The 12,224-nt window shown below is 45.9% G+C and overlaps 1 protein-coding gene across 14 annotated transcripts in view; it reads left to right on the forward strand.

Annotated features, from left to right (window-relative positions):
* Window positions 1-12,224, forward strand: part of CACNA1E (calcium voltage-gated channel subunit alpha1 E) — a 490,386-nt gene that overhangs the window by 454,264 nt on the left and 23,898 nt on the right. For 11 of the 14 annotated variants that reach the window (XM_017002243.2, XM_017002249.2, XM_017002248.2 and 8 more), the window contains 4 exons: window positions 104-269; window positions 4,139-4,266; window positions 9,465-9,561; window positions 11,717-11,822. In XM_017002243.2, coding sequence (XP_016857732.1) covers window positions 104-269; window positions 4,139-4,266; window positions 9,465-9,561; window positions 11,717-11,822 — 497 coding nt within the window. Of the gene's footprint in view, window positions 1-103; window positions 270-4,138; window positions 4,822-7,480; window positions 7,578-9,464; window positions 9,562-11,716; window positions 11,823-12,224 lie in introns of those variants that run through there. The other 3 variants (XM_017002244.2, XM_017002246.2, XM_047429980.1) reach the window with 2 other exon arrangements.

Genomic DNA, 12,224 nt, shown 5'->3' on the forward strand with positions numbered 1-12,224 from the left:
GGGCCCAGACAAGAGCGAGGATGGGGAAATTGGGAAAGAGGACCAAGAATATGATAGGATCTGCAGAGCTGCTCCTGCTAACCAAAATGTCTCTTGGGCTCAGGAGTGCCACAGGTGAGGCCTGGCAGGAGATTATGCTGTCATGCCTTGGGGAGAAGGGCTGTGAGCCTGACACCACCGCACCATCAGGGCAGAACGAGAACGAACGCTGCGGCACCGATCTGGCCTACGTGTACTTTGTCTCCTTCATCTTCTTCTGCTCCTTCTTGGTGAGCAACATTGTGCTTTTGCCTTGCTATGTGGCCCATCCCATCCTACCCCTAACCCTCTGATACATAGACCGGAGATGTTTGCTTCAGTGTATGTTTGTGCCTCCCTCCCCTCCTCTCTCCACACCCCCACCATGCACACACTCACACTCACGTCCACACCCAGGTTAAGAACTAGATCATCCTCTGGAGAACTCTTGGAGATTAGAGTGCCTGTCAGACTCCTGGATGGGTGACTTTCAATGATTGAGAAAAGTCTTTGTTGGTTCTAGGGAAAGATTGTTGTGAAAAGGGAAGGTGAGCATATTTAAGTGCATTGAGCTTCATATCGAATCTATGGACACTCAGAGTAATCCTTTGTCATACCTCAGGTATTTTATCTTATAAGTACGTCTATGGATATCTTCGCTTTGGGAGATTTTTGAACTGCTTGAGAAAAGGTACCTTGAAAATGCAAGGTTATGGCATTGATAAGAGTAGAATGATGATAATGGAATAAATGTGGTTCTCTCTTGACTTGTAATGTTATTACATTTGATGATAATTGACCAGCTGATAGATGAGAAAGAATGAGATTGCTTGATTGCTTTGGGTGTTAGTAAATATTGAGTAGTATATGTGGAGCATACCCACCTATAAAGTGGTGGGAAGCCCTACGTGCCTCTGAAGTCTCTTTTGGAGAAAGCATGACTCAGCACACCCACTTCCAGAAACTTCTACCCTGCATATCAGACAAGCAGTGATAAATAGAATAATAAAAGGGCCAGTTTAGTGTTTCTGGTCACTCTGAAATTCCTCAGCTCAACTACACTGCTAATGCCACTGGCTGTACAAAAACCTAAAACTAAGACAGTGATGCCACTGAAAAGTGGTCAATTTCATGGCCATGCATCAAAAAGTGAATTAATTGTCTTATGTCCAGGCATTGCTACCTTGCAAGTGATCCCAAGGGGACTGAAACTTCCCACATGTCCAGCTCTCCAGTGAGGGGGGTGGGCTACAGAAAGACCATTAAGTGTTGCCTGTAGGTCAGTGTGGCAGGGAGGGAGCTAATGGGAGATGTGGGCAGCCCACGCAGTAGTCTTGGCTTTGTTCCTCTGCTAGCCTGGGCCAAGACACTTTCCCTTTTATAGCATCTATAAAATGGGAGAAAAAAATGACTTAATAATAGGAACATTTTATACACAATGAACTGATCCATGTGTTTTAATACACTTCCTTCTTATGTATGTGAAAGGTTTTTCAGTAAAAAGAAAAGAATATACAACAGTATCTTATTTACAAATATGGAAGTATAATGTATAAAGAAAAAACCCCCTGAAATTTAGAATAATGCTATTGATGGGAGTTTTCCATTTATTCACATCTTCAGCACATTTTTATTGAGTGGCCATTGTGAGGTTCACTCTCAGCAAGGCCCATCCCTCAGTCACCAGTAGTCAAGGGGTGAAACCAGCTCACAGCTTCCAGGAATCGGTGCTCACTGCTAGGGTGAAATGGAGCAGATAGAAGCGCATGTGGACATCTTACTTTTATCTTATATGGTTTAAGTGTTTCATAATAAATATTTAAAAGAAACCAAAGATATAACTGGAAATTAATTAGGGACCTTAAAGGTACTTTTGGAATTTTGAGACAGAGGGTGCTGCATAATTCACATTACTGTTATTTTTAATGAGGCTATATTCAGCACGAGATGATCTGCTTTCAGATCTATATGAGACTGACTGTGACCTTGGACAAGTCACACAGCTTCTCAACTCAAACCAGCCACTCTACAGAGATTTACTGATGCCTCTACGATGTGCCCGAGGCCTTGTGCTGGAAGCTAAGAACAAAAAATGTGAATCCAAAGCAATTCTGTCCTTGAAGGGTGATGGTAATTAAACCTGCCTCACAAAGAGTTGGAGCAAGCGTAACAACAAGTAATAGGTGTGACTGCACACGCTACACTCTTAATGACTGTTCAAATGAAAGGCAGTAACAGTGCTAACAGTTTTCATTGACATTAATAATAGGTACCCCGAAAAGTATACAAAAGAAATGTCTGGATACATGGAAAACCCTTTCTGTCTCTTGTAAGTGAAAGGGTCCTGCCTGATAGGTAGTAGTTGAACAAGTTCACTGTGGCTCCAACCTCAGAGGCAGAAAGACAGGCCCATGTTGGGATTAGGTTCGCCTGCATGAGACAGAAATCTCCAGATAACAGTGGCTTAACCAGGAGGGATGCTGATTTCCCTTCCACATCAGTGAAGTCTGGAGGAAGGCAGGCAGTCTGTTTATGGTGGCTCCAAAGGGGTGTTGGGGCCCCAGACCTACTCCTGCTTTCTGCTCCATCACCTCTGTGGTGTGTCCCTCATCCTCATGGAAGAGAAGACACCTAGACCTCCAGCCATCCATCTCTACTCTAGGCAGCAGGAGAAAAGAAGGAAGAGAAGAGTCTGGCTGTTAGGTATGACCAGCAGTCTCTGTGTTGTAGAAAGACTCCAACCATGTCCTTCCTCCACACTGTCTCCTTATCCTGTACACCCTGTCTGCATATCTGGCACCTCTGTGCACCTGGCCACTTGGCCTGGGGGTCCACAATAGAGACTCCAGTTTTCCCACCAGTTGTTATCTATCAGGCAGGACCCTTTCACTTACAAGAGACAGAAAGCCCAGCTAAATCTGCTTCAGTAAAGTGGGATTTTATAGGCTCCTGTAAATGAGGAGTCCTGGGGCAGAGCAGGCTTGATATGGGGCTCAGATGATATCACCAGGTCCAGGTTTCTCTCTATTTACAGATCTCTGCCTCCACCTTGCTCCATCCTTGTGAGTGCAAATATCAACATCTCAAGATGGCTGTAGTGGCAGCTCTAGACCGCACATTTTCACACATTTAAGAGCAACAGGAAGAACTATTTTGCCCAGAAGATTCAATACCATTTTATTGGTTTTGATGGGATCACCAACCACTGTGCCCAGGGAAATGGGGTTTAATGACTAGTTGAGGCCTGGGTCACAGGAGGGCATCCCACTGAATCTCACTAACTTGGAACAGCCAAGAACCTGGGCCAGAAATACAGTGAATGGGTGAGCAGGGCAGCCAGGAAACAAGGAAACAGTGCTGTTGAACATCAAGTCCTGTCGATTCCACCTTTGTTAACTCTCTACTCTGGTCTGTGCTGTCGTCCTGCCCCTGGTAGATTCAGGAGTACTGCAACATCCTCCCTTGGTTTCCCACCCACCCTACATGCTGCTACCAAGAGTTCTTTCTGAATGCAAATGTCACTTTATCTCTCTCCTCTCTAAACCCCTTTAGTAGTTCCTGTTGCTTACAGAACAATCTAGATCAGTGGTTGGCAAACTATAGCCCTTGGGACAAATCAGGTTTACCACCTGTTTTTGTATAGCCCATGAAATAATGGCTTCTATGTTCTTAAATGGTTGAGGAAAGAAAACAAAAGATGAATGATGTTTCATGACGTGGAATTACATGGAATTCAAATTTCAGCGTCCATAAACAAAGCTTAACCAGAACCATCGTGTTCATTTGTATACAAATGGTCTGTCTGGTGCTACAACAGCAAAACTGAATAGTTACAGCAGAGACCACACAGCCTGCAGAGCCTAAAATATTTGCTATCTGACCAGTTCACCGATCCTGGTCTACACTCTTTAGCTCAGTGTATGAGATGCTTCTGTGATCCGGCACTTGGATCCAGCTGCTCCGCCCTCCTTGCAGATCCCTGACTATTCCCTGTCCCTGCATACCTCTGTTCTGGCTCGTTTGCTAAAACACCCTCCTCCATGCCCTGAAGCCTGTTCTTCTGCTTCCTGAGCTCTGCTTTAGGTTTCCCCTAACCCCTCTTCTTCCCCTTGCCCTTCAGATGCTCAACCTGTTTGTGGCCGTCATCATGGACAACTTTGAGTACCTGACTCGGGACTCCTCCATCCTGGGGCCTCACCACTTGGACGAGTTTGTCCGCGTCTGGGCAGAATATGACCGAGCAGCATGGTGCGTAGGCCCCTCGGCCGCCCCAGCGGGGCCCAGAGCAAAGGTCTCTGGAGTTCCCAGGGAAGAGGCTGGAATTGGAGCCACCCAAATGCCTGCCTGTTACAGAAGGAAAGGAGATTCCTCTTGATTGTGGCCCATAGAAGAGGCTCTGGTATCAAGCCAGTCACCAAGGACTTCTGTATCCTCCTTTCCCCTCTCTTTCCTTCTGTGACAGGGTTTTCCCTTTGTGGGCTGGTCTCATCATCCAGTCCTCACCTCAGATTATTTGGGCTCAGTCCCAAGAGAACTTTCCAATAATCTTTTTCTGCCAATGGTTAGTGGACTCCTTTGAGTTATCAGGGGGTTTGACAAGGGTTTTTGGCCAGCTGGACATCTGGCCACCATGATCAGTGACTGTGTTTTCTCTTTCTCGTTCCTCTCAACAGATACAGTTGGATATAACTCTGAAATTATTTTTTAAAAACCAAACAAGTTGTTCTTCCAACTGTTCCCTTAAATATTTGTGGATTTTTATTACATGGAACTAAATTAAATGGTAGGAATTGGTGAAGATAACTTCTTTACTGTCTCTTTTGCTGTTTAGTAGTTCTGAAGTGATAGCGTGCCTTCTAGGCTCTAGAGCAGGGATTGGCAAACTACATCCCATGGGCAAAATTCAGCCCATTGTCTGTTTTTGCAAATAAAGTTTTATTGAAAGACAGCTCAACCATTCGTTTACGTATTGTCTCTGGCTGCTTACATACTACAAGGAAGAGGTGAGTGATTGTGACAGAGATGGTATGGTCCTCAAATTTGAAAGTATTTACTACAGAAATATTAGGTTGGAGCAAAAGTAATTGTGGGCCATTTTTGCAACAACCTATATATTTTACTGTCAAAAAATTTACTGCCAGAAACATTTGCTAATCCCTGCTTTGGAGTATAAAGGCAGCATTTTGGCCCTCATGGCTGAGGACAAGGTGAGAGTTCTATGAATGCTTACTCCAAAGGAACTGTTCTGTTCCAGGTCATTTTAGCTTTTGGGTCTTAACTCACCAATCCTCTATCCATTCTGGTCCCCCTCTGAAAAATACTACAAGAAATGTTATCCTTTACAGGCATGGACCAAGTTGCTTCCACCTGGAACCCCCTTCATAATCAGAGACTTTTCCCAAAAATCTATCCTCTGGTGAGGCTGTTGAACTTGGGTCACTGTTTTACAGACTAGAAGGGTGAATCAGAATTCTTTCCTTCATTAATTATTAATGACTTAGGGTACAGAGTTATCTAAATCCATTCCTATTACAATGGCTGAGCAACAGCTTTTTCTTTCTGGTCTTACTTTCTAATAAATAGATCTTAGAAAGCAATGGGCAGTGTGTTAGAGGAGAAGGCAGCCAGGCCTGCGTGTCTTCAGCTCCATGGCCTTGGACAAGTCACGTAACCACTCTGGGCTTCTTTACCTGTAAAATGGTGATCGTGATACCTACATAACTTGCAAGGTGTTTGTGAGGATGATATTAAATCATGTGTAACTGTTATTATAATCAACAATAACCACACGGGAATGCTAATTGGAATGTCTAGAAAATCAGCCTCTGTTACCATGGATATCTATGGGATTGGGAGCCTAAGAAGGGACCTCTTCACTCACCCAAGAGGAGAAACCAACTGTGAGCAAAAAAGTCCATTGTTCATCTGGGCTCACTCAGGTATCCTTGGCTTCCAGAAACCCCAGCTTCTTGTGGTTTCACTTATCTTGGGATCCAAATGCTGTGTGTATAAAACATGCTCCTCCCTACTTATTCCAGTTGCTGGGAAGAAATGATTCCATGAGGATGAATCATGAGACTCAGACGTGTGGACTGGGAAAGAGCATAAAGACAAAGAAGAATTTCTTCTGTGTGCTTTGTAATTCACAGTGTAATTCATTCTAGTTAGTTAGAGTTTGGTTGGCTTTCTTTATAAGGTGGGTGAGGAAGACTAACAAAAGTAATGTGAGCCAGTGTCTTCAAAAGGGGGGCTGAAACCAGTTGCAAAAAATGTCAGTCTATAGCCACTCCCAACCCACCTACTTCCCAATCTCACTAAGGCAAAATGAAAGGACAACTGGCTAAATTACCTCCTCTCAAGAGTTGAGAGACTTGGAGGTACTGATGAGCTGCTATCTGGAAGAATAGGAGGAATCAACCCTCAAATTTCAAAAAGCCTAGAAAGAGTAAAGCTGGGCTGAAGCAATAGTCTCCAGACAGTTGCAAGCAAGGACTGAATGCACAGAGGTGGAGATGTTGTGCTTATAATTTCCAGCGGAAACCCTGGTCTGTTCCAGGGTGTATACAGACCTGCAGATCCCTGGGTGTTGCTTCTTTTTCTGGACGCTGACAGAGAAGATGCTGTAGCCACTGAAAATTAATCAATCATTAATTCTATCCCTTCCATAGGAAGCTGGTACTCTCTAATGGGCTCCTGGGAAAAGGGTTGGTAAGATAGCTAGAATTCTGGCTGGCTCCAGCCAAGCTGCTGTTGGCTGAGTGGCAGAAAGAGGGCTGCGGGGAGAGTGTCCATGGCTTCCTCCCTGGCTGCTCTCTGAACACAGACCTCAGCAGGCTCCTACTGAGTAAAGAAGACTTGCCCAAGCTGAACGCAGAAAAATCTGTCACAAAGAGAAACAAAGCCCTTTGTGATTTCCCTCATGCCAACTGTGCTCCTTGCTAATTAGCCTAATGGGAAATTTGTCTCTTCCAGACTGCAGAAAGCCGCTGACTTCCCACTGCCCCTGAAAAGTGGGTCTGAGTAACTGACTGTAATCAGTGTCTGTGAAAAGCAAACAGTTCTGCAGTCCACTTCAAGGCAGCCTGACATCTGCTCTGGACAGCGGTCTGAGTCATTTGTGAATTGGCAGGCTTTGTTCCTAGAAGCCTAGCTAGAGCCAGGGCTGTGTCTGCATCTGGCCAGGTATGGTCCAGATAGGTATAATGGGGTGCTCTTGGTCATTAGGCAGTTCCCTTTGGCATTGACCAGGCTCTGATTTCCTTAGAAAATTGCAGCAGTGCAGTTTGGCAAGGTAATGGTTCTCTGGTGCTTACTGTTTTCAGTCTCTCCTGGTCTGGCTTTGCCAGGCCCAAGGAAAGAAGCTGCTCTGACCTCTTTCAGCCATCCTCTTCATGGCTAAGCTGTCATTTCTTTTCTACCCTTCTCTGAGTGTCCTATTAACCCACCTGTGCTTCCTTTACAGCGGCAGGATCCCGTATAAGGATATGTACAAATTAGTGCGGGTGATCTCGCCTCCTCTGGGCCTGGGAGAGAACTGCCCCTACAGGGTGGCTTGCAAGGTTTGCCTCCCAGTCCCCAGCCATGATCTGCCGTGGGATGCAACATCTAACCCCTCCTCTCTGTCCTCTGCTCCACCACCACTGCGCCACATGAGGGAACCTTCATGTTGCTTTCCTTTGAGTTTAAAGAGGTCCAAACCCTTCCAGAACCAGCAGCTGTTACATAAAGATAAGGGCATACTTTGGGGAAAAGGCAGAAGAGTTAAGAACTTCATGTGAAGACCAGTGTGATCGCTCTCTTCACATGCACACACTCATGTATGTGTGTATATGCACATGTACACACACACACACACACACACACACACACAGGTCCACCTTAGTCTGTATAGTTAATCAGAGGGACCTCTCCTTTCTCTATAGAATGCAGAAATATTTTTAACCCAGCAAAAGAATTCTGGCTTCTTTTCACTGGAGATGGAGAAGCCTCATTTTAGCAAAAGAGCCTCATCGTCCCATATGTAATGTATGGAGTATGATCCTAGTGATCCCACCCTCCCAGCTCCTGGATGGTCTGGTCAGAATGACTATGAAAGCTATAGGACAGAAGGGGTGAGAAACAAGGAATTAGGGCAAGAGGTGAGAGTAGGTAAAAGAGGCATGGATTTGGTGCTGTGTGGAAGAAGGTAGTAATAGCTCAGAGAGTCTGGGAAGATCACAGTGAATGAAGCACTACTGAGAGAGTCCCTACCTTAGGGTCCTGCCATGGGTTGCTGTGAGGGATCTGAGGGAGCTGTCATAATTTCCAAGTCACTTCTTGTCAGTTACACCAAGGATATTGTTCAGGGGTGAGTAGGACCTCCCTGCTCAAATCTGCCATACCCAGGGAATTCTCTATATCCCAATGGCTCTACTAAGCCCCTATGTGAGGCCAAGCCTGCTAGGTAAGGAACCCTCTCCTGGTGCAAGTGGAGGGAAGCATGGGCTCCCTGGGGCATAGCACTGCCCAGGCAGCTGGAAGATGACCTAGGCTCAGGAAGGATGCCAGCCTGGACAATGGGATAGAGCTGGCCTGGGATGGTGACACGGTGATTCCATACTCAGGAGGCTGGACAGCTGCCTCTGCTGAGACTCTTTAAACTCCACCCTGGTGAAACCCGCAGCCGCATGTGGGAGAGCTGGGGAGGGTAGCATGGCATGCAAGATGCTCTTCCTCCTCCTGTTTTTGTTTCTTCTGTCCCCAGCATGCCATTGACCTGGCACATGCTGGGGAATAAAGAGCAGTCTTGTCCACAGAGCCAGGTGGAAGCAACGGGGCCAACTCTTTGAGCAGCAAGCACAGCCCACCACCTTCAGTGCAAGACGCCGCCTCCTGCTGCACACACACACCAGAGGGGGGATACACGACGTTCTGCCTGTGGGTTCAGTGGAGAACAGCCTGACTTCCAGGCCAGCGCCCCAGCCGGGGTCAGAAACTCCAACCCATGGCTGGAGCACCGTCTATCCGGTTTATACCACTCACACACAGCCCTGGGAATTGAAAATAAGCTGTGTTGTATTGGGGAGGGATGAAGTGAACAGGGAAGTCAGGGGAATGCTAATCGAGGAGAAAATGAGACCCCGTGACTGTTCCCATGGAGAGTCATAGGGACTGAAGGTTGCCACCAGTTTTCCCGGGTCTGTGTGGGGCGTGATATAAACCGCACCAGGATGGAGTCATGTCTACGATTTGCCTTGATTAACAGGTTTCCTATTCTTTTCCCGTTTGTCCATTTTGTTTTGTTTTTCTTCTCCTGTTTTCTGTATTTTGTTCGTTTTTGCTCTCTGGGAATGCCTATTCTCCTCTCCTATCTGTCTGCATCCTTCTCCCCACTTCCTTCTCCTTTCCCTGCCACCCCACTGCCCCGCTAACCCACCCCATCCCAACTCACCACCCTCCATGAGCAGTGGCCGCATCCATTACACTGAGATGTATGAAATGCTGACTCTCATGTCACCTCCGCTAGGCCTCGGCAAGAGATGTCCCTCCAAAGTGGCATATAAGGTAGACCACCCCTTCCTTTGCTCTGGGCTACAGACCAACAGGAAATGGGATCTAGTTGTGGGGAGGCCAGAACATGGGGAGGAAGCCAGGCTGGGGAGGTGGAGGAGGGAACTAAGGAGGAAAGGCACGATGAGACTGAAGAGTCAGGAAGGTTCCCAGGAGGACGAACTCATGAGACAATACAAGGAATGGTTTTTAATACTGTTCAACATGGTTTTTTATGTGATATTTTGTGTTTCTACAACTGTGTGGCTTCTTGTGAGTGAGTTACCTGACAAGCAGTGTTAAGTGGTGTGTTTCCTTTTAGAGGAGGCAGAGTGGTGGCCTGTGGGATGGCATATATGGGCAAGAAGGAAGCCTACAGCAAAACAGCTATCAGTGCTCATATGCAAAGAAATATCTTCAATCAGATAAGGAAATCATGCAGAAATTCCTTTAAACGTGGAATTGTTAGGAGAAAGGAAAATTCCTTTAAACAAGAAATTTTTAGGAGAGAGGAAAACTCATAACAAATGTTTTCACCCATGACATAGGAAGAATGGCATAGGTTCCTTCTAGGTGTAAGAAGAAAAGAGGAACCTGTCTTCCATCCTGTGATAGACTGAGGAATGCAGCTCTATTCCACTAGCCCAGCTACCCAATTCTCTTGGAAATACTCAAAAGGAAGGGAAATAATGGGCACAAGTTGTATTCAGCATTAAATTTGACTTACTGGCATAACATAGTTATGGGGCCTGGCCCCAGAGTTATGGGTGGATTCCCCTATGGCTTGCTGTTTAGAGATTATTGTACACTGGGAGTCACTTGCCCTTGGGGTGCTCATAGCTTTTGGACATGAGTTGTTTTGCCACCCATTAGTAATAGTTACTGTTAGTTCCCCTTTGCTATTTAGACTGACCCAGAACTCTGGAGCTCTTTCATTCACCTAGGAACACATCATAGTAATGTTTCCACTTCTCTAGATGTTTAAAGAAGTGGGAGAGAGATGGAACTCAAATCCAAACAAGAAACTGGCTTTCCACTCTAAGACACCATGTGGCATCAGCTTTAGGCAGGATGCTGCAATGGAACATTAGAGACCCTTCTTTGGGAAGAGGTACTTCCCTCTCTGCCAGGCTGGTGGTTCTGCCAGAGGACGTTCTCCTGCTGCTACCTCACATTGTATGGCCCCAGATAGCATCTCACTGGAACATGGCCATTAGGGACCCTCATTCCCCCCAGTACATGGCTCCTCGTGCACAGCTTAGGGGCTGGCATCCTTTTTGCTCACGATGGCCACATCCAAAAGTACCAGGTGGTAGAATGTGGCCTTGAATTTGTACCTCTGGGATGAAGCTTGGTGGGAGAAGGGGAGCGGGGATTGGAGGAAAAGTTAAAGAGCTCCAAAAGCAAAATACTCTCTGGAAAGTGGATTTGGCCATTTCAGTGTGATCCCTTTCTTTGGGTAAGGGGAACAAGGCCTGCCCACTCTGCTCCTGCCTGGGCCACCCTTCCTCGTTCTGTCTCCTCCGCTCTCCCCATCCTCCTACCCCAGAGCCTGTTTGCACTCTCCCCCTTGTCCATCCTGCTCCACCTCATCCTTTAGACAAGTTGGACTTATGCATGTTCAATCATGTGCGGGCAAATTTCATCTATTAAAGACTCAAAAAGGGGGCACCAGGATACATCTTTCAAGTTAGATAAGCAAAGCAAAATCTCATTTCTCACTGTATTTCCATATGAGTTTCAGGGGGTATTCATGGGACAAGTGGAAATATGGAGCAGCCTTGAACAGGAAATGGAGCCACCTCCCCGAGCTGACTCCTTTCCTTGAGCCACTTCTTTTAGAAATCACTTCCCATCCCTAACAAAGACATTCTTAGGACTCCAAGGGGGGGCCTTACTGAATGATTAGGGAAGCCCCTTCCCTTTGGAATTTGGCATCATTCCCTTGGTGGAGAAAAAACAAACAAACTACAACAACAACAACAACAAAACAGCAGCAAATGAGCCTTAAGTGAGAAGCAGGGAGAGAAGGACTGGGGCAGGGGATGGGGATCCTTGCCCTTCTTTTTCGTCTGTGCATTTGACCTCTACCCTTTTCTTCCTTTCTCACTGAGATGTCTTTCAATTTTTTTTTTTTTTGCCTGCTGTTTCTTTTTTCTCTTTCACACAGAGGTTGGTCCTGATGAACATGCCAGTAGCTGAGGACATGACGGTCCACTTCACCTCCACACTTATGGCTCTGATCCGGACAGCTCTGGACATTAAAATTGCCAAAGGTAAGCTTAGCTTAGGAAGGGAGGTGGGAAGGAGGAATTCTGGAACAACTCATGCAGGTGGCACAGGATGGAGATATTTGAACTGTCATCTATCCAGTTAAGGACACAATAATGCAGTCATCTGAACATCAAGTATCTGACTCAATAACTAATAATTGCCCTTTCCTTCTGGTACAGTGAATGGTTTGATAATCTCTAGGGCTTCTTTCAGCTTTAAAAGTATATGATCTTCAGTGTCTGGCTCACAATAGGTATTCTAGAAATATTTATTGACCAGAGGTTAATTTTGTCCTTTTTTTCTGTATATGGTTTATTTTCTCTGAAGTCTTGAGAGGCTTCTGTGGCAGAAGGTGCTGTCATAGAGGCCATGGTAGTGTTTTATTCCTCTTGATTTCTAATGAT

This window comes from Homo sapiens, chromosome 1 (genome assembly GCF_000001405.40).
Source record: "Homo sapiens chromosome 1, GRCh38.p14 Primary Assembly".
NCBI lineage: Eukaryota > Metazoa > Chordata > Mammalia > Primates > Hominidae > Homo > Homo sapiens.